This window comes from Homo sapiens, chromosome 14 (assembly GCF_000001405.40).
Source record: "Homo sapiens chromosome 14, GRCh38.p14 Primary Assembly".
Classification (NCBI taxonomy): Eukaryota; Metazoa; Chordata; class Mammalia; order Primates; family Hominidae; genus Homo; species Homo sapiens.
In genome coordinates, this window is record NC_000014.9 from 71,182,654 (window position 1) to 71,203,746 (window position 21,093).

The window sequence follows — 21,093 nt, forward strand, 5'->3', positions numbered from 1 at the left end:
ATCAGCCCAGCACATTTCTAGGGAGCAAGTTTTTCTGAGAACAGTAATTCCAGCAAGCTGAAACTTATTGAGCGTCCTCCGCCTGAGGAAGACACAGTTATCCAGTTGAGTTGGTGTCTTGGGGCCCACACACCTGGGAGGCAGGTAGGTGCCCACGGCGGGGCTGCAGGAGGCCAGGACAAGCAGTGCTGGGAGATGCTTAGTGTGATAGATGCTTACAAAGACCAGGGAACTGAAGGTCAAAGGCAGGAATATGGGCGTGAATGAAGCCACAAAGCTACTTCCCAGAACAATTAGGTTGTTGCTGAGAATGATAATAATAATGCAATAATTATGATTTACCGTTTACTATTTGCCAGGCATTTTATGTATGTTATTTTGCTTCTTTCCTACAGCAACTCCAGGGGATTTATACTATTTATGTCTCCATTTTGCAGAGATGTGAAATAATGTTCCTAATGCCACCCAGCAAGTTAGGGGCAGAGGGAAGTTTGAGCCTTGGCCGCCTGGGCCTGTCGTTCCCACTGTGCCCCTCCTGAGGCGGGAGCCCAGGCAGATGGCTGAATGAGCTGTGGTGAGTGGCAGGCACAGAAGCCACCATCAGGGTTTCTCTGTGAAAAGTGTGTGGGGCTGAGCCCTCCCACAGAATGCTTCAGGGTGGACCTGGACCATGTGGGGTTTACAAGGATCAAGTTCTGCTAATTAACATCTGTCATGTGAAGCCACAGTACCCCACGCTGGGCTGGGTGCAAAACATGGGCCTTGCCCTCTGAGGAGTTTACTCTCTAATAGGGAAGAGGAGAAAGTCCACAGACACCTAGAGGCACCAAAAGACTCTTGGAGATTTGCGAAGAAAGTGCTAAGACGAGTCGGGCGCAGTGGCTCACGCCTGTAATCCCAGCACTTTGGGAGGCTGAGGTGGGCGGATCACAAGGTCAGGAGTTTGGGACCAGCCTGACCAACATGGTGAAACCCCATCTCTACTGAACATACAAAAATTAGCCAGGCGTGGTGGTGCATGCCTGTAATCCCAGCTACTCAGGAGGCTGAGGCAGGAGAATCGCTTGAACCCAGGAGGCGGAGGTTGCAGTGAGCCGAGATTGCGACACTGTACTCCAGCATTGGTGACAGAGTCAGACTCCATCTCAAAAAAAAAAAAAAAAAAGAAAAGAAAGTGCTAAGACGGGCGTCATAGGGAGTCAGGGAGGTCCTGAAAGAAGGTGGCATTTGAGAAACTGAAGAAGAGCTGGGGTGGTTTCGACGGGCAGAAAAGGTGGTGAAGACATGCCTATCAGCTTATCTGTAGCCTGGGAAGGCTACGAGGAAAGCCAGCAACGCTTAATTGCTCCAGGACTAAGTGCTGAAGGGGCCTTTTAAAGCCTGGATCTGAGAGATCACTCTTTTGAGTCTCCAACTGGGAACAGTGACTAGTTAAACTATCAGTCAAGAAGCTGCCAGCACTTCACTTGGACTGAAAAGCAATTCCCAGTGGAGCCCTTGTGGGCCCAGGGAGATGGGCTTCACAAAATCTCTCCCACCTGTGGGTCACCAGGCTGGCTCTGTTCCCATGCAATAGGTTGTTGGGAAAATGGTCCTTGCCAGAGTGGCAGATGGCCCTTTTATCAGGACTAGTACTTCAGCTGCCAGACTGATTTCTTTTTAAGGTTTATTTTTATTAAAAGCTAAGTGAAGCAGTCTGAGGCAGCGCTGTGCAATAGAACTTTCTGTGATGGTGGAAATGTTCTAGGCTGTGTTCAGTGTGGCAGTCACTAGTCACATGGAGCTATGCAGCAGCTGAAATGTGACATATGCCACCGAGATAATGAATTTTTCATTTCACTTAATTTTAATTCATGTATGCTAGTGGCTACTGTATTGGACAGTGTAGGGCTGAGTGATCTTGGGATGAAACGAAGAATCATGCAAATTTGCCAACAAATTTGCAGAAACAGCTTCTCTAGTCACATGTGATGTTTACAGGGTCCTGGTCATACAGAGTAGGAGAATCTTACACCATGTTTCAAAAGGGGACATGCAAACATGTATTCCCCTGTCTAATTAATAGGTATGCTATTCTATAGACCCTGTATGCTAGTAATCAGATGCAGGGGTGACCAGCCAACTTGGGTGTGCAAAGTATAGAACAGAAAAGAAAAGAAATGCTTTGAGATCTGTAACTAAAAATTTCAAGATGTTGCTTTTGATAATTGTGTTGTTGTTGTTACTGTCCTAAAGACAGCTATATTTTCCCCCTTTGATCACAGACCATCGAGTTTCATCTTTCTTTTTTGTGGGGCAGGGGAATAAAAAATTCCTTTTTTTCTTTTTCTTTTTTTTTTTTTTTTTGGAATACAGGGTCTTGCTCTGTCACCCAGGCTGGACTGCGGTGGTGTGATCTTGGCTCACTGCAACCTCTGCCTTCTGGGTTCAAGAGATTCTCCTGCCTCAGCCTCTCAAGTAGCTGGGATTACAGGTGCATGCTACCACACTCGGCTAATTTTTGTATTTTTAGTAGAGATGGGGTTTTGCCTGTTGGTCACGCCGGTCTCGAACTCCTGACCTCAGGTAATCCACCCGCCTCAGCGTCCCAAAGGGCTGGGATTACAGGCATAAGCCATTGTGCCCAGCCAAGAATTCCTTTCTTAGTGGGCATAATAATAGCTAGTCTTCATTGAGTGCCTACTGTGTGCCACATGCCCTACATATGTGTATCTTTTATACTCACATAAACACCCAACAATGGGTATTACTGAGACGATTTGCATTTGAGAAAACTGAAGCCAAGAGGAGGTAAGCAATCATGAGTGCTAAAGTTCCAAATTATGTATTCTTTATGTTGAGTCCATCTTTTAGAACACAAGAAAGTAACCCCCCTGTAAGCCAGAGGTGGTAAAATCCTTAGAAGCCTGCACTCAGAAATCAGCCCAGCTTATTTCTAGGGAGCTAGTTTTTCTGAGAATTCCAGCCAGCCAATTCTGGAATCTCCGACACCTTAAATTTCCAAATACAAAAAGTAGCTTGACCTGCACTTCACATAGTAATCACAGGACTGTAAATGATCAGAGCAGGATGGGAACTTGGAGATCTTCTTGTCAAAATACTTATTTTACAGATGAGACTCTGAAGCCAGTGTTTACTATTTGCCAGGCACCACTGACCAGCACCACTGACCAGCAAGTTAGCCTCAGGGGAAGGGGATGGGGCGGGCCAGTTACTTGTAATAACTTATGTTGAATCTACCATTTGATTGAGTTCCAGAGTGTAGTCACAGTTAACTGTGCAACCCAAAGTAGTTTCAAAACCCTTGGGAAAACTCCCCCATTACCTCCAAATCTTCCTAATTCTATTCTTATTCTCTTTCCCCCTCATTCCATAAGATTTTTATTATATACGTTGACATAATTTCTTCCCTAATTCCCCCATCTGTCTAATTTGCTCCTTTTTGCCCTTTACAAAAAACCAAGAAAACCATATTGTCTGGGCAGATTCTTTCTTTGAAGAGCTGGGGGTCAGGAAAAGGCGAGAGAATGAAAACTCTGGCTGGCAAAGCTAGAGCCCTCTGGATCGCTCAGGGTGTGGGCCCAGGCTGAGAACATTCACATGAGCAATTTCCATCCCATCTCAGTACAAAACACAAATGTGACATGTGACTAGGGAAGAACAAGAAGTCAGCTATACCTTGCTGTGGTCAGCAGTTAGCGGCCAACCCAATAAGCCATTCCTTCACACCTTTTTCTTGCTAATAAAACCTTGATTTGATTTGAGTAACAGTGACAGATTCAGATGATGAAACATTACTTGTCTAAGCTAATCATGACTAGCTTGCTCCCTTTCACCAGCTACTTGATTTACCAAGCTCCGTTGCAGCTGGTGGTGGCGATGAGGTCTGGTTTGGCCCAGGACACTGGCAGACAAAATAATGGCATCCCCAGGATGTCTGCATCCTAATCTTCAGAACCTAAGACTATGTTAGTTACATAGCAAGGAGGAATTAAGGTTGTAGATGGAATTAAGTTTGCTAATCAGCCAAAAGGAAAATAGGGAGATTATCCTGGTGGGCCCAGTATAATCACAAAGGTCCTGAAATATTGAAGAGAGAGGCGGAAGAGACGGTGTCAGAGAGATGCAGCATGGGGAAGGCTCAACCAGCCATTGATGGCTTCGGAGATGGAAGGGGTCATGAGCCAAGGAATGCAGGAAGCCTCTAAAAGCTAGAAAAGGAGGCTGGGCCTGGTGGCTCACACCTTGTAATCCTAGCAGTTTGGGAGGCTGAGGCAGGCGGATCACAAGGTCAGAAGTTCAAGACCAGCCTGGCCAATATGGTGAAACCCCGTCTCTACTAAAAACAGAAAAAAATTAGCTGGGTGTGGTGGCACACACCTGTAATCCCAGCTACTCAGAAGGCTGAGGCAGGAGAATTGCTTGAACCTGGGAGGCAGAGGTTGCAGTGAGCCGAGATCGCACCATTGCACTCCAGCCCAGGCGACAGTGAGAGACTTCATCTCAAAAAAAAAAAAAAAAAAAAAAAGCTGGAAAAGGCAAGCAAATGGATTCTCCTCCCTAGAGCCTCTAGAAGGAACATCGTCAGCTGACACCTTGATATTAGCCCTGTAAAACCCGTTTGGGATGTTGACCTCCAGAACTAGAAGATAATACATTTGGATTGTTTTGAGCCAATAAGTTTGTTACAATTTGTTACAGCAGCAGTAAGAAACTAACACAGGCAAATAAGGGAAATTCTGCAGGAGGCCTCTCTAAGCCTTGCTTTTCTGTTAAAAGGAGAAAACGTGGCTGGTGCCTCCCTTTCCTTTATTCTTCCTGACTTGAAAATGGACGTGATGACAGGGGCTGTGGCAGCCCTCTTGCAACTACTAAGCCACAAGCATGAGGATGAAAAACTGTATACCAAGGATAATTGAGAGGAAAGAAAGAAAAAACCTGGGAATTTCATTACACTGTTGAGTTACTAAAATCATCCTAGAACTGTGGACTTCTAGGCTCCTTGTTATGTTAGAACAGTAAGTCCTGCGGGTTTAAGTCCTGTGAATTGGATCTTATGTTACTCGCACAGTTTATCAGGGTTCTTACTGTATAGAAAATGGGCATGAGCCAAAAAAAGAAAAAGAAGGAAATTGTGTGACTTAACTTGCAGGGCACAAAAGGGGGTGGGGGCCATGGGACCATAAATAGCTCGCATTCCTAAGGCCTTAGGCAAAGCTAGACTGACTCGAGCTCTCAGCCCCTCCTCGAAAAGCCTAATTTCTTCATCTGGGGTCTGCAGAGGAAGTGGGGCTTCCAGCAACTCTCACACCTGAGGAGGCAGCCAGACTTCCCCGGGCAGGTCCTGAAAGGTGGACTCCTGCCACCTGACCACAACTTGAGGCTGGAGACTGAGTTATAAGGGATCCTCTAATCCCCCCTGAAAATTCAGAGAAACAGGACTAGCACGTCACCCCGCAGCTTCTCCAGAGGCTGCAGGGGAGGGAAGGCAGTGTCCTCCTCTCTCCAGTCGGGGCAGGGAGCTGCCAGCATATTCTCTGAGGCAGTGAAGCCCAAGATCCTGTTGTTGAACAAGATAAGTTTCTTTACCTTGCGCCAGGCAACGCTCTGCAACCCAGACACTGATGACCTTTGCAATGCTCTTCATCCCAGACACTGATGACCTTCCTCTGCAGAGCAGTGTGCAGTGAAGGGAGCTGGGGGGTGGTGAGGTATGCGGGGAATGGCAGCATTAAGGGGCCTTGAGTGGAGCCCCAGGAACCGGCTTCAGATGTTTCTCAGAATTTTATTTACCTCTCTCAGCCCTCAGATCCTGCTGGAACTCCGGATAAAGAGGAGCTGGTGCTGAAGTCAGGGATCTGAAATAACAACAGCTGAGGAAGATCCATGCTGAGCGCCCGATGGAGGGTCTCTATAGTCAGTTTCCCCACCCTCAGCCACTGCATATAACCTAGGGTGCAGGGGAAGGTGGCAGAGGACCTGGATTTGGTGTCCTGAGTTCCTCCCTCCTGTCTAGGTGGCCTAAACCCACAGAGCTCATTCTTCATCTGTACTCCTCATCCAGGACATGCCATTCTTGTAGCAAAAGCAAAGGAGCAATGGCTGAACCACGTGCCGGTAACTGTGAGCTTCTGTGATTTCTTCACTCTGGATGAGCCGAAGCAAAGCGCATAGCCAGATCTGATGTCCACAGTGAGGGACGTGTATGTCTCCCACAGAGTGGGGCCCTGAATAGTTGGGAACAATATCATTTCGCATAGAAACTAATACATTTTTAAAATATGATGATCAAGTAAAATGCATCTATGGACTCCATTAGACCTGCAGGAGGCCACCAGGCACTGCTGGTATGGGAGTTAGGACTTGGAGTCAGAGAGAACTACACTCAAATCCCAGCTCTGCTGCCCACTAGCTTCGTGAACCAGGGTGGCCTCACAAACTTCCTGGGCCTCAGTCTCCCCTCTCTTTTTATTTTTTTGAGACGGAGTCTCACTCTGTCACCCAGGCTAGAGTGCAGTTGCGTGATCTGGCTCACTGCAACCTCCGCCTCCCGGGTTCAAGCGATTCTTCTGCCCCAGCCTCCTGAGTAGCTGAGATTACAGGCGCCTGTCACCACACCCAGCTAATTTTTGTATTTTTAGTAGAGACAGGGTTTCACCATGTTGGCCAGACTGGTCTTGAACTCAAGAACCTCAAATGATCTCCCTGCCTCAGCCTCCCAAAGTGCTGGGATTATAGGCATGAGCCACCACACCTGGCCTCCTCTCTCTTTTAAAGGGGCTATGAGAATACTTACCTCCTGGATGATGGGCACAGAGCACCAGGCACAGCACCAGCCCTGTGTGGAGTCTCAAGACAAGGAAGTTCCTCTTGATGTGGACATGGGCTCAGGGGCTGGAGCAGGATCCTTAAATTCACAGAATGCAAAGAGCAGACCCATGTGGAAAACAGATGGCGATTTCTCAAAAAGTTACACCTGGAGTTACTGTATGATCCAGCAATTCCATTTCTGGTTATATACCCAAAATAATGAAAGCAAGATCTCCAACAGATATTTGGATGTCCATGTTCATGGCAGCATTATCCACAATAGCCAAAAGGTGGAAGCAATCCAAATGGCTATCAGTGGATGAATGGATAAACAAAATTTGGTATATCCATATCATGGAATATTATTCAGTCTTAAAAAGGGAAGAAATTCTGACACATGCTCACCAAGGATGAACCCTAAGGACATTATGCTAAGTGAAATAGGCCAGTCATAGAAGGACAAATACTGTATGTTTTACTCATATGAGGCACCTAGAGTAGTTAAGTTCATAGAGACAGAAAGTGGAATGATGGTTATGAGCAGGTGGGGGAAAAGGAAGGGGGAGTTATTGTTTAATGGGTATGGTTTTAGTTTGGGAAGATGAAAAATTTTGGAGATGGTTGGTGGTGATAGTTGCACATTAGTGTGAATGTACTTAATGCCACTGAACTGTACACTTAAAAATTGTTAAAATGGTAAATTTATGTTATGTATATATTACCACAATTTTTTTAAAACACAGAACCGCACGTTTTAGGTACACGCCAGTCTCCAGATGGAAGCTGCCTAGTGCTGTCCAGTGCCTCCAGGTTTATGGGAGTTCGTGGCCACATCTCTCCCGTGGGATCCTGTGGGCTCCTGCAGGAAGCTACCTCTGGCAAATGTGGAAAACAGAGGTATAGAGGAGAGGTACTGGATGCAGAATTATGATGCCAAATGTGTCCTCCAACTTCCTCCAACTTGCTATGTTGCAATTCAGCAGCAAGCTTCTTTCCCGGCACTTCTCTCACACTTGTCCATTCATTCATTTATAAACAAATATTTACTGAGAGTGTACTAAAATGCCAGACTCTGTTCTAGCCTTTATAGTCAATTAAAAAAAAAAACAAAAAGGAAAATAATTCCTCCCCTCATTGAGTTTACATTGTAGTGGAAGAGAGAAACAAGAAACATAAAAGGATAGTTTGTTAAAAAGTAAGTGGCATAACTTATGTTAGTGTTATTGGGAAGAAATAGAGCAGTCACACTGGACTGAGAAGGCTGGGTGAGGAAGGTGCTTGCCATCTAAATAGAATGGTGAGGGCAAATCCAACAAGATGACTTTTGCGGGGTGGAGGGGGACATAATAGTTTTATTGGGATATAATACACATATGTGATGATTAATTTTATATGTCAACTTGACTGGGCAAAGGGTATCTGGACAGCTGTTAAAGCATTATTTCTGGTGTGTCAGTGAGGGTGTTTCTGAAAGAGATTAATTAGCATTTGAATAGGTAGATCCAGTAAAGAAGATCACCCTCACCGATCCCAGTGGCATCATCCCATCTTTTGAAGGCCTGGAAAGAACAAAAATGTGGAGAAAAGGAACATTTTCTTCCGGTTTGAGCTGAGACATCATCTTCTCTGGCCCTGAGACATCAGAGATCTTGCTTCTCAGGTTTTTGGACTCATGCCAGGACTCATACACATTATTAGCTCCCTAATTCACAGCCCTTCAGATTTAGACTGAATTACACCATCAGCGTTTCTGGGTCTTTAGCTATTAATAGCAGACAGCAGATCATGGGACTTCTTGGACTCCATAATTGAGTAGTCAATTCCTATAATAAATCTCTTCATATATGTGTGCGTATATATTCTATTGATTTTTGAGCTCTAGAGAACTCTGACTAATACTAAACTGTCTTAGTCCACTTTCTGCTGCTATCAGAGAGTACCATGGACTGGGTAATTTATAAAGAAAAGAGACTTATTTGACTTGTAGTTCTGGAGGCTGAAACATCCAAGAGCATGGTGCTGACCTCTGGTGAGAAGCTCCATGCAGCAGTATTCCATGCTGCAGTACCACAGGGTGTGCACGTGTGCATGCAGGACAATAAAAATGGGGGCTAAACCTATCCTTTTACCAGAAGCTGGCTCCTTGGAACCCTAACCCAGTCTTGCAATAACAGCATTAATTCATTCATGAAGGCAGGGCCCTCATGATCTAATCACCTCTCAAAGCTCCCACCCACCTCTTAATACCATCACAATGGCAATTACATTTTAAATTTCGAAATAAGTTCTGGAGGGGATATTTAAACCATAGCATATACCATTCACCTGTTTCAAGTATACAACTACATGTTTTTTAGTATACCCATAGATTTATGCAACCATTACCTCAATCAATTGTAGAACATTCTCATCACCCTGAAAAAAACTCTGTACCCATTAGCTGTCAATCCCCATTCCTGCCTCCCTCCAACCCTAGGCAACCACTGATCCATTGTCTGTGTCTCTAGATCTGTCAATTCTGGACATTTTATATAAATGGAATCCTGCAATATGTGGTCCTTTGTGTCTGGCTTCTGTAACTTAACATAATGTTTTCAACGTTCATGCATGTTGTAGTATGCATCAGGACTTCATTCCTTTATATGGCCAGATAGCATTTCATCATATGGATAGACCACATTTTGTGTATCCATTCACCTGTTGATGGACACTTGAGTTGCTTCCACCTTTTGGCCCTTGTGAACAGTGCTGCTGCGAACATGCATGGTCAAGATTATGTGGAGAGGGTGACTTTCATGCAAAGATGTGAAGAAAGAGATGGAACCAACTATGTACTGAAGTGTAAGGAACCAAAGTCGGGAGCCTGTGTAGTGTGTTTGAGGAAAAGTGAGGAATCTTCTGTGGCCCCAGTGTTGAGAATGAGGTGGAGGATGGAAGAGGAGGACTGAGAGGAGTGGGTAGCCAGATCACGGAAGGCCCTGGGAGCCACTGGGAGGATTTGGGCTTTTACTGGGGTAACATGAGAGCCATTGAAGGGTTTTGAGCAGGGAAATGACATAATCCGACTCATGTCCCATCTTCTTTTTTTCTTTTTTTCTTTTTTGAGATGGAGTCTCACTCTGTCCCCTCCAGCTGGAGTGTAGTGGCATGATCTTGGCCCACTGCAACCTCTGCCTCCCGGGTTCAAGTGATCCTCCCACCTCAGCCTCCCAAGTAACTGGGATTACAAGTGTGTACCATCACACTCAGCTAATTTTTGTATTTTTAGTAGAGACAGGGTTTCACCATGTTGGCCAGGCTGGTCTTGAACTCCTGACCTCAAGTGATCCACCTACCTTGGCCTCCCAAAGTGCTGGGATTAGAGGTGTGAGCCACCACGCCCGGCCCTAGTCTTCTATTTTACCTCAAACAGTTCTCAGAGGTGACAGGAAAGATGAGAAAACATTGCACAGGATGGAGAAAGAGAGGGGAGAAAAGTGCAGAAAGCCACTAAGGGGCCAAGAGTACCCAAAGGGCAAAGGAGAGGGCAAGTTGAGGGGTCGCACCACCTGAAGCCCATGAGGCTCGGCATGGCGAGTGCTGGGAGGAGCAGAAGGCAAGACTGGGCAGGTGCGAGTGGGACAGGCTTCCATGCACCTGTCCTCCTCCCGCAAACACTGGCATGTATTTATCCAGAACTCCCCTGAGAAACACATCCTTGTGACACCCCAAGGAGGGCAGGTGTTGCTGTGCTCTCAGGTGCTCCACTGCTCGTCATCTGCCCTCCCTCCCTCCAACTCCCTCAGCTCACTGTCATTGGGCTTTCAACCCAGTAACGCTACTGAAACAGCTGTTTTGATTACCGAAGATGTTCTAAACTGCCTAAATGCCCCCCTCTTCAGCCTACACAATCTCCCTATTTATGCCCCCAAGGGCTTTGCTACTGAAATGAGGACCAGGCACCAGCAGCATCAGTCTCAACAAGGGATCAGCCCCAGCCCCACGGAATCAATCTGCATCTTGGTGAGATGTCCCAGCTTCGCAGGTACAGTTTTATCTACCCATCTTTAGGGGAATGGCTCCTTCCTCCACTCTGTCAAATTAAGGAGTAAGGGCCACTCTCCTTTTACGTGATCCCAGGCCTCAGTGACTGTCAAGCAGTGTATGCCGTAGGGGTTCAGTCAGGATGGTGGAGAAAATTATAAAATAAAACACAAAAGTTTCTTGGAAGGGCAAAAGGTTTTTGCATAGCTTTAGATAGTTTGGCTGAAGGCAGCCTAATCCTCTTTAAGCTATAGCAAGGGTAATTAACATAGGAATGTAGAGGAGTCTACCTAAATAGCCTGTTTACTCATGTGGTTCTAAAACTAACCTCTGATCATTTGCAGGCAGGATGGCACTCTCTGGGAGAAGGCAACCAGGTTGATTACCCTCTAATGGTGTTTACTTGAGACGTTTGTCATCTAATGTGTGCTGAATAAATGCCAGGAGGGCCAGTGAGTCAGGGGCCATGACTGACAGCAGTCTCCTTAGAGTCTATAAGTGGCTGGGACTCTCAGCCAGACTGACAAGCATAATATCTGTGTCAGTGTATGTTATTCACCTGTCACTGAGTCAGGGTCTGCAGGACAGACCCCCACAGCACACAATTGCTCCACCCTGAATTTTTCTCCTTTGGTCTTCAGGCTGCCGAGGCCAGGTCCTAATGGCTGAGGAAGTCAGGTGGAAGTGTGTCCCTAAGGCTGGTCTATCAGTCAGCATTTCTTAGTTGCGTGCAGCCTTGTTATTTCCAGCCAAAGAAAATTTATTTGAAGGATGTCAGATTTTCAGAGAAATGATGGAAGTCTGAAGAGCCAAGCTTGGGAACAGGTGGGAATCCAGGCCACTTTAAGGCCTAAGATGCAAGATAGATAAGAATAATCACATAGTGGAACAGTTTATGCAGACAGAACCCTGAGAGGCAGGATGCTACCCTTCTGTCTTTGTCATTTCATTCTGTTCAAGATTCAAGTTGTAGAGACTCTGTTAGATTGGCCCAGCTGGAGGCACAAGCCTGATCCTTAGTTAGGGATGGGCCCCACCAGACTGCATCTCTCAGGGAAGAGTAAATGCCTCAAAAGGAAAACTGCATGCTGTTGAGAGGGGGACATCAACATTGGAAGGCTGCAAAACAAGTGCCACTTCAGCCAATATCACTATTCCACACCGGTTGAATTTCAAGCCAATAAATCCACTTGACATTGACATTATTGGAGTTGATTTTCACTCCCTTACAATAAAAGAGACCTGACTAATGTCTTGACCCTGTTTCTGCAGTGCCTTCCTCAGTATCAGGAATAGAGCACTCAGTTTTTCCCTTCTCCTTTGTCAACCACAACATCTTTGCCTCCTTCCTTGATTCTTCTTTCCTTCCTGAGAACTTATGCTTGTGCATGTCTCATGGTTTTCTTTTCAAGCCCTTTTCTCCTTTTATTTTACACCCTCTCCTTTTAAATATCAGTTATTTCCATGACTTTGTTGCTCATCTCCAATCTACCTCCCTCTTTCGCTGGAGACTTGTGTTTCGAAATATCTAATGGATGCTGACACACAGGTGACCTGACACATACCTCAATTTCAACATATTTACAACTGAATTCATCATTTTTTTCTCATAAACATCCTCTGCTTTTCATATTTCCAATTTTGAGTCCTGTATTTTCTCTGTTTATATCACCATCTTCCTCAACACGAGCTTTTGCAATTTAAAATCTCCTTGGGCTTTTTCTTCATGCCTGGTTCCCATTTTCAACCTATCACGAGGTATTATTGATTCTGCCTCCAGAATTTCTTTGAAATATTTTATTCTCTACTACTCCTGCTCTTGTTAAGGTCTCTATTTCTTCTTGCCAAGAGGTCTTTTTCACCTGAGTTTCCCCACATTGTTGCCAGAAGAATCAGCCATGTGAGATATTCTCAAAACCAGCCAACGGCTCCCCACTGCCTGCAGCATAAAGTCCAGATTTCTGGGTGTGCATTAAGCGCTGGCCTTCCCTGACTTTCCATCCTTGCCTTTCATTTTAACCCCCACCCTCACCAAATAAAATCACATCAGATTTCGCAGCCTTCCCTGATTCTGACAGTGGCCTCTACCATCCCATGCCGGGCCTGTCATCACACAGGGGCCTTCACTGGCATTTCATCCCCTACCTTCCCACCCATCATCTCCCATCTCCATCTTTGGAAGTCCTATTCACTGTCTGTGCTGAACCTGGTCCTTTAAGTCAGGAGGATCATTCCATGTGCCCTACACCAGGTGGCCCGTGAAACTGAGGAAAAAATGCAGGCCATAGATCCATGGGTCAACCTAGAAGCTTTGGATGTTCCCGAGCTGTTTGTAGGTGGGCTCCACTCTCACGTGGTCCAAGCTCTAGACTCAGGGATGCTGACTGCAATCTCTGGCCCCTGTTTCCCTGGCTGGTGATCTGCTTGTGCTTCTGCAGCACCTTCCTCCTGTGGCTTCTTTTGCCTCACAGCTTCCTAGACCCAACTTCTTCCCATGATCTCAAATACGAATCCTCTGCCCTGGCCTTGGCTCAGATGAGTCTGTCACGACCATTGGCATCTGTATAGGCCACTTGGCTCCTCTTCTTTGAAGCCTTCCCTGGTTTCTCTAGCATTGATTAATCTCCTCCGTACACATAAGCCTCTGCTTTGGCTCTTACCTTTTGTTGCTTTCTGAGACCCTCTGCCTCATCCATTGCACTCCAAGATCTTCCCGGGCAGGGTCTTTGCCTTTTAAAACCCTGACACTAAGCACCCATCAGTGTAGGAGCTCCACTGGTATTTGCACGGCATCCTAGAATCTCTGCTGCGACTCCAGCAGGTTCCTTGGAGTGGACAGACTCCCCCTAAAAAGCCCCAGCTGTATTTCACAAGCTTCTTTCGTCCCACCAAGAGACAGACACAGTGGGAGGCCGAGGTCCTGTGTTCCAGAGCCTGCTTCCACACAGCTATATTTAAACAAGCACATTCTCCAGAAAATAGAAAATATTCCTTATTAAAAGACCTTGCCTGGTACCCTTCTAGAACATTCATTCGGAATAAGAAAACATCCTTCCATTTAAACTTTTTCAAACCACTTTCATATATGTCAGATCCCAACCACCTTCAAAGGAGGTGGAGCAGATCATGTCTCATGTGAGAGCTGACATAACCAAAGTTCAGAGAGGTGTAGTGACTTCCCAAGGCCATACAGCTGTTCATGGCAGAGACAGAACTAGAGCCCTATCTGTCTTCCATGTCTCATCTGTTTGGGAATCCTTATTAATAATTGTTACTTAGGAATATTGCTTCCTCCCCTTTGGAGCTGACTTTCTCCAGATCCACACTGGGAGCCCTGGATTCTGACATGAGCCCTTCAGCTCCTTGACAGTCAGACATCTAGAGCCAAGTGCAGCCTTTGGAGAGGCCACAGCTCCCTTTCCCAGCTCCCTCCCCGTGAAAGAAGGTAGGCTGGGCTGTAAATGTTGTTTGGACCACTAAGTCCCTACTTGTTCTACTTCTGAGCATCTGGGAGGTATGTCAGCGTTTGCATCCACAAGCTCCAGAGAGTAGGGTTTGGGTCTCTCTGTGCCTAAATGACTCAGCCGTGTAAGTACTATCATCCTGGGTGGCGGAGGTGGGTGGGTGCAGGGAATGCAGCTGGATTACCAGGCACTACTGTTGGTGCTGGACTCAGCAGGACGCTGGAATCAGAACGCCTTCCCTCTAAGAAAGATGAAAGCATATCTCTGGTAGTGGTGAAGTCTGGCCCAGAAGTCCAGGTCCTTGGAAATGACTGGGGCCTGCCTTGCTTGAGTGTGGCCCTGGCATTTCCAGTTTGCAGTTCTGGGGCTCGGGCCCAGCTCCCCTACCTCCCCACTGTCTTTGGCACTTAGTGAGCACGATGGACTCCACCCGCTCCCTCCCCTACACACCCCCGTGGGCTCTGGACCTTCTTTCCAAGCCAAGGTTGGTGGCTGTCATTTTCAAACTCTTCTTCCGGCCTTTCTTCTTCCTTTCGAGTTCAGGCTCTGCCCTTCTTGGGTTTCCCTTCCTCCCTGTCTGTTGGCTTGTGCTGGAGGGAGCAGCTGAAAGCAAGGATGAAGGCTGGTTTTCCAGGCTGACCTTCCTGGGTGAAGATGAGGCCAGGATTCAAGTGCTTTGAATTGTGTGTGTGTGTGTGTGTGTGTGTGTGTGTGTGTGTGTGTGTGTGTGTATGTGTGTGAGAGAGAGAGAGAGTGTGTGTGTGTGTATGTGCGTGTTTATTCCACAAGGAACATCCCCTGAGCTGAACGGATAGCTCTCTGCAGAGAGGGTCATGGTCTCCTATGACTCCAACACCCACCCAGTATTCCAGGCACACACAGTAAGTATTCAACAACAATTGTTAAGGATTATGAAATACAGAATGATGGAAAGAGAACTGACCCGGGAAATTAAGACACTTGGGTTCTAACCCCAATTCCACTTGTAGCTTGTTTCACAAGTCCTTTAGCCTCCCCAGACATCCACTTTAAACAATTCCATCCTTACCTCCCATAGGACCAATTAGAGAATGGATTAGATATTTTCTTCTGAGGACCAGAGAGCAGAACGAGGTGGGTAGAAGTTACAAGTCTAAAGGAAAATTAAAAGATCTCAGGACTCCCATGCTCCTTGTGCAAAAAGAGGTTAAGCAGGCAGAACCCCCTTCCACGTAGCTGTTACTAGCATCTTGCATTAGCCAGATCCCCACACAAGGGTAAGGCCTCAGGCATCTACAAAGGACCACCCCCAGAGATCATTCATAAGTAAATTATTATTTTTTTTTGCTGGCCTCCCATAAATAAGGACATGCCAAATGTAACTTTAGGTCTACAATCTAAGTCTAGCTCCTAAAATGAAAGTCTGTTTCATTCCAGACTGATAATGTCAATTACAAGCATACATTCCCAGGTGCAGAAACAAGAGAGCAGTCATTCCTCCCCTACCCAGAGATGTCTGTATAATTGATTCTTCTTTCACTCATTTTTTCTCTGGAAACATTCCCCTTATCTTATGTAAAATGTAGATTTCCTGGGCATTAACAAAAGGCTCACAAGAATGTAACCATTCCCTTTACCACCAACCTGGCTCTCTTCCTGCATGCCTACCCCCTTGAAGGAAATGTATAAATACTAAACCTCCCGAAAACCTCTTCAGAAAAATAGCTCATGTTTTTCCCAGACACACGCCAAATCTGGCTTAGTAAACTTGATTGATTGAGACTTTTGCACAGTCACTCATTTCGATTATCACAAGGAAGCAGAATTCAGATCAAAATCAGGAAGACATTTGACACAGTTTGGATATTTGTCTCCACCCAAATCTCATGTTAAAATGTAATCACTACTGCTGGAGGTGGGGCCAGGTGGGGCGTGTTTGGCCCATGGGGACGAATCTCTGTGGCTTGGTGCTATCTTCACCAGAGTGAGTAAGCTCTTACTAGATCTGATTATTTAAAAGTGTGTGGCACCTCCCACCCCACTCACGTGTGCTCCTGCTTTCGCCATGTGACATGCCTGCTCCCCCTTTGCCTTCTGCCATGATTGTAAGCTTCCTGAGGCCTTAATAGAAGCTGAGCAGATGCCAGCACCATGCTTCTTGTACAGCCTGCAGTACTGTCAGTGAATTAAGTTTATTTTCTTTATAAATTCCCCAGTCTCAGGTATTTCTTTATAGCAATATAAGAACAGCCTAATACAACATTCCTACTAACCAAAGTCCATTCTACAGACTTCCTAATCAAGCAGAGAGCCTTCTGTTCTGAAAACTACTCCAACCAGACAGATTGATCATCTGACAAGTAGTCTTGCATGAGAGGGACTGCCTTCTAGACCATGAGGTAGGAGTCTACATTTTGGTGTACGTAGAGGGCTTTGGGGAGATCTGTGTGAGGCTGTAAGTATGCTGGCCTTTCTGTACATTTTCCAGAAGCCTGTTCAGGCCCAGGGACAGGAGATGGGTACTGAAATCTAGGGGAAAGCAAACTGACAACCTGGGCTCTGGCATCACAGAATGGCCTTGCCATCTCCAGCAGCACCTTGAGTCAAGAGCTTCTGTGTCTTCCCAGTGGGCAGACTCCAATGGGAATGACGTCTCACAGTGTGAGAGGCTCTGGCTGTGCCCAGTCCTCCAAAGGGAAGAGGATGATGGTCAGACTGGCCACTCACAAAGCTGCAAGTGCCTGGGCAGAGAGGACTGCTGCCTTCAACCATGAAATCTGACCCTGCAAAGTCTGTGTAAGTGGAGCCTCCTCTCTACCTCCCCTAGGAGATGAGCCAGTTCTGCCTACCTGGTGATTCTTAGCTATGGACTCTGGTCAAAGGAAACATTTCCTTCCACATCTTTCAAAGACCCATCAGCTCCAAGACTAAGAATCAGAGCCTCCACTTTCAGTCCCTGAGGGCTCTACCCTGGTTAACGACCACAGGGTCTTAGGCTCCCATGCAATAGAAATTAACATGAGGTCAAGCAAGTTTTCCAGACAAGACTTTATTAAAACCTATGGCCAGAGAGATTGGACATAAGGGAGACAGTGCAGGAGGAAGGGTTGTCCAGCTGGCTCCCCAAGGAGAGTGCATTACGGCGTCTTAAGGATGGTCACGTGCGTAATTCACGAGGTGGGTGAGCATCATTCCATGTGCCAGGTGGAGTGCAAGATGCACAGATGCAGTAAGGAATCATGCAACACATGCATCACATGATCAGAAAGTGGTGGATAAAAACCCCTTCCTGGGCAGAGATTTTAGAATTACAATGTGGCTAGGGATTAGAATCGGTCATTCTCCTGGCCTATGCACATGTGGGCAACTGAGTAAGATTTATGGTGGAATATTGCTTATCTTAGTTTCCTCAGACACTTTGCAAGCTCTGGTCAGCGGGTATAGTGCCGGTGGGGGTGGTGCAACAAGGCCTGGTGGTCAGCGGGCATGTGTGGAAAAATACTTTAGTCGGGGTTGGCCGAGTCCCGTCCCTACTCTGTCTCACCCTCGCTCGTCTTTTGGTGGGATTCTGCTGCATCTCACAAGAATATACTAAGTGTGCCTGGGGACTTTTGTGCAGCAGCTGCTGCTACCCCTGCATGGTCAATCCCCTGCTCTTCTCCCTGCTACCCACTCCCGTCAGTATCTGCTCTCCTGTCTCCATTCCTGGAAGTTCTTCTTCTGTAGCCTCAGGAAGATACAAGATTTTTGGTAGAGAAAAGGCCAGAGGAGATGAAGAGCAGACCAGACATCTCTTTTTTTGGTTGGTCCTGTGAACTCGTTTAGAGTCCAATTTGGAGGTGGGAGGTAGGGAGGGAGGGCAAGGGTTGAAGCTGAAGGAGGCTATTCAAGAAACTTTGAGCACAAGTATAGCTTCTTTGGGGCTCAAGAGAAGGTGAGTGACTCAGAGCAGACTCTCCCCTACCCCTCTACTTGGAAGCCACCTCCCCTCTTGTGCCCTGACAACTGGACCTGTGGGGAACATGAGACAAATGTTGATGTGCCCATGGTGGACACCAGCAAGGATGAGAGGGAGGGGCTAGGACAAGGAGGAAGAGCTGAGATGCTAGGCATCGTGATGAGTGCAACTGACAGACAGGACACATGGGAGGCATGTCCTTAGACACCCCTGGAAATGGCCGGGCACGGTGGCTCACACTTGTAACCCCAGCACTTCGGGAGGCTGAGGCAGGAGGATCACTTGAAGCCAGCAGTTCAAGAACAGCCTAGGCAACATAGTGAGACTGCATCCCTACCAAAGCAACATAAAAATTAGCCTGGGAGTGGTGGCAGGACACAATTGTAGTCTCAGCTACTCTGGAGGATGAGGTAGGAGGATGTCTTGAGGCCAGGAGTTCAAGACTGCATTGAGCTATGATTGCACCACTATACTCCAGCCTAGATAACAGAGCAAGATTCTAACTCTAAAAAAGAGAGAGAGAGAGAGAGAGACCCTGGAAACAGCTGGGGATGCAGTGAGAGCTGAAATCATAGTAATACATGGGTGGGAGCATTTAAGCCAGGAGATAATTGGGTTCCATCAGCAAATATTTATTCTGGGCTTGATATGTCAGATAAAAATTATTAAAACATTATCCTAGGCCTAGGATAATAAGACACACATAATAATAATAGCTAACATTCATTGTGCTGGGATAACTACGTATAGGGACTGTTCAGAGTGCTTCTACAGGCATGAAAACACTTAATTTTCAGACCAAATCTATTATTCCCATAGTATTTGTTAGGGTTCTCCAGAGAAACATAACCAATAGGATGTATATATATAGAAGAAGATATTTATTATAAGGAACTGGCTCACACAATTACAGAAGCTGGCAAGTCCCGAGATTTGCTGGGTGAGTCGACAAGCTGAGACCCAAGAGAGCTCATAGTTTAGTTCCAGTCCAAGTCCGAAGGCCTGAAAACCAGGAGAACAGGTGAAACAGTTCCAGTTTGGAGGCCAGCAGGCCTGAGACTCAGGAAGAGCCAACATTTCAGTTCAAGTCCAAAAGCAGGGAATAAAGCTAGTGTCCCAGTTCCAAGGTTGTTAGGCAGGAAGAATTCTTACTTGGGAGGTCACCCTTTTTGTTCTATTCAGGCCTTTGGCTGATTGAATGAGGCCCTCACACATTAGGGAGAGAAATCTGCTTTATTCAGTCTGCTGGCTTAAGTATTCATCTCATCCAGAAACATCCAGAATAATATTTGACCAACTATCTGGGCACTCCATGGATCAGCTAAGTTGAAACATTAAAATTAACCATCACAGGCCGGGTGCAGTGGCTCACACCTGTAATCCCAGCACTTTGGGAGGCTGAGATGGGTGGATATCTTGAGCTTAGGAGTTTGACCAGCCTGGGTAACATGGTGAAACTTTGTCTCTACCAAAAATACAAAAAATTAGCCAGGTGTGGTGGCACACACCTGTGGTCCTAGCTGTTTGGCGGGGCTGAGGTAAGAGGATTGCTTGAGCCGGGTGGTGGAGGTAGCAGTGAGCTGAGGTCAAGTCACTATACTCCAGCCTGGGTGACAGAGCAAGACCTTGCTTCAAAAATAAAATAAAATAACCATCACAAATTGGTTCTGGGGCAATTTCAGAGCCCAGGCAAAAAGAAGGGAGTGGTATCTTCTACCTTAGAGGTGGAGAGAGGTAAACCAGAGAACATCAAATAAAAACGTCATGCGGAAGGTGCCATTTGAGCAGAGCCTTGAAGAACAAGGAGCATTTTGACAGGTAGAGACAGGAGGAAAGGACAGGATAATTAGAGGGGACGGTGTGAACCAAGAAATCAAGGAAGGAAAGAATGCAGCAGGGGAATTCCTCAAGTGAGGCAAGTAGGGTGATGTGGGTAGTAGTGTCCTGGGCTGTGTCCTTGAGAAGTGGACTGTGATGGAGATGAATGTGCAGGGAGTCTGTTGAGTGCTCCCCGGGGTAACATCTGGGGAAGGGGAGCAAAGGAGAGGGGAAGAGAAGGGAAGGGGGCAGGATTGGGCAGGAGAAGTTGGGCTGCAACTGTTGATGCAGTCTCCACCAAGGCCTCAGCTGACCTCTGAGGAGCTTTGGAGTTGCAACTCCTCAGAGATTTCCTGAGTTAGGGCACAGGGCTCAAGAATTTACACTCCCACACTGATGTCACGGAATGCAGGCTGCTCTGGGAAAGGGTGTGATGTTGGACAAAGTGAATCCCTTCAGCTGAGACAATTCCCAAAGAGGGCTGACAGCTCAGGGTGGTCTGCTAACAGCACACCCAGCAACGGGGGAAATAACTGCTGCAGAGGGATCTAGGGGGCCCCTCCCTGCATCCACTGCAGGTGGATTAAAGGACGAGGGGTGCAGTGGATGTTCAAGAGCCAAACCTAGCATATCCCGGGATCCAGCACTGGAGATCCCTGTGAGCCAGTGCTGGGGACAGAGGGTTTCCTGCTGAGGGAGACAGGGAACCACTGACAACTGTTGAAAAAGGGAATGACAACTCAGGACTCTTCATGCTTTATGAAGATTAATCGGGAAGACTCATGTAATTCCTAGACATGGATGAGAAAGCCCACGGGAATGTGCAATAAGAACCACAAGGACAGAGACCTGGGCACGCATTGCAGAAACGGGTGGAGGAAGAGTGAGGGAAAGCGATGGAGAAGGAGCAGACAAGAAAAGGAAAGGAAAACTCTAGACTGAGGGTAAAGTCCACAATGCTGAAGAGTGGCCAAGCAGGATGGGCACTGAGGGGGATAGCGTGTAACAGGTCATCAGAAGGCTCTTGGCTGGGCGCAGTGG

At 46.7% G+C, this 21,093-nt stretch overlaps 3 annotated features.

Annotated features, from left to right (window-relative positions):
• Positions 4,970-5,722: an enhancer, noted in NCBI's record as "H3K27ac-H3K4me1 hESC enhancer chr14:71654340-71655092 (GRCh37/hg19 assembly coordinates)". NCBI's record gives its function as "activates a minimal SCP1, AML or CMV promoter by ChIP-STARR-seq in naive H9 embryonic stem cells {active_cell/tissue: H9 hESC(naive)}" and the evidence as "EXISTENCE:reporter gene assay evidence [ECO:0000049][PMID:30033119]".
• Positions 4,970-6,677: a biological region, named in NCBI's record as "CDK7 strongly-dependent group 2 enhancer GRCh37_chr14:71654848-71656047".
• Positions 5,478-6,677: an enhancer, noted in NCBI's record as "CDK7 strongly-dependent group 2 enhancer chr14:71654848-71656047 (GRCh37/hg19 assembly coordinates)". NCBI's record gives its function as "activates an origin of replication core promoter dependent on BRD2, BRD4, P300/CBP, MED14 and CDK7 cofactors, with strong dependence on CDK7, by STARR-seq in HCT116 cells {active_cell/tissue: HCT116}" and the evidence as "EXISTENCE:reporter gene assay evidence [ECO:0000049][PMID:35650434]".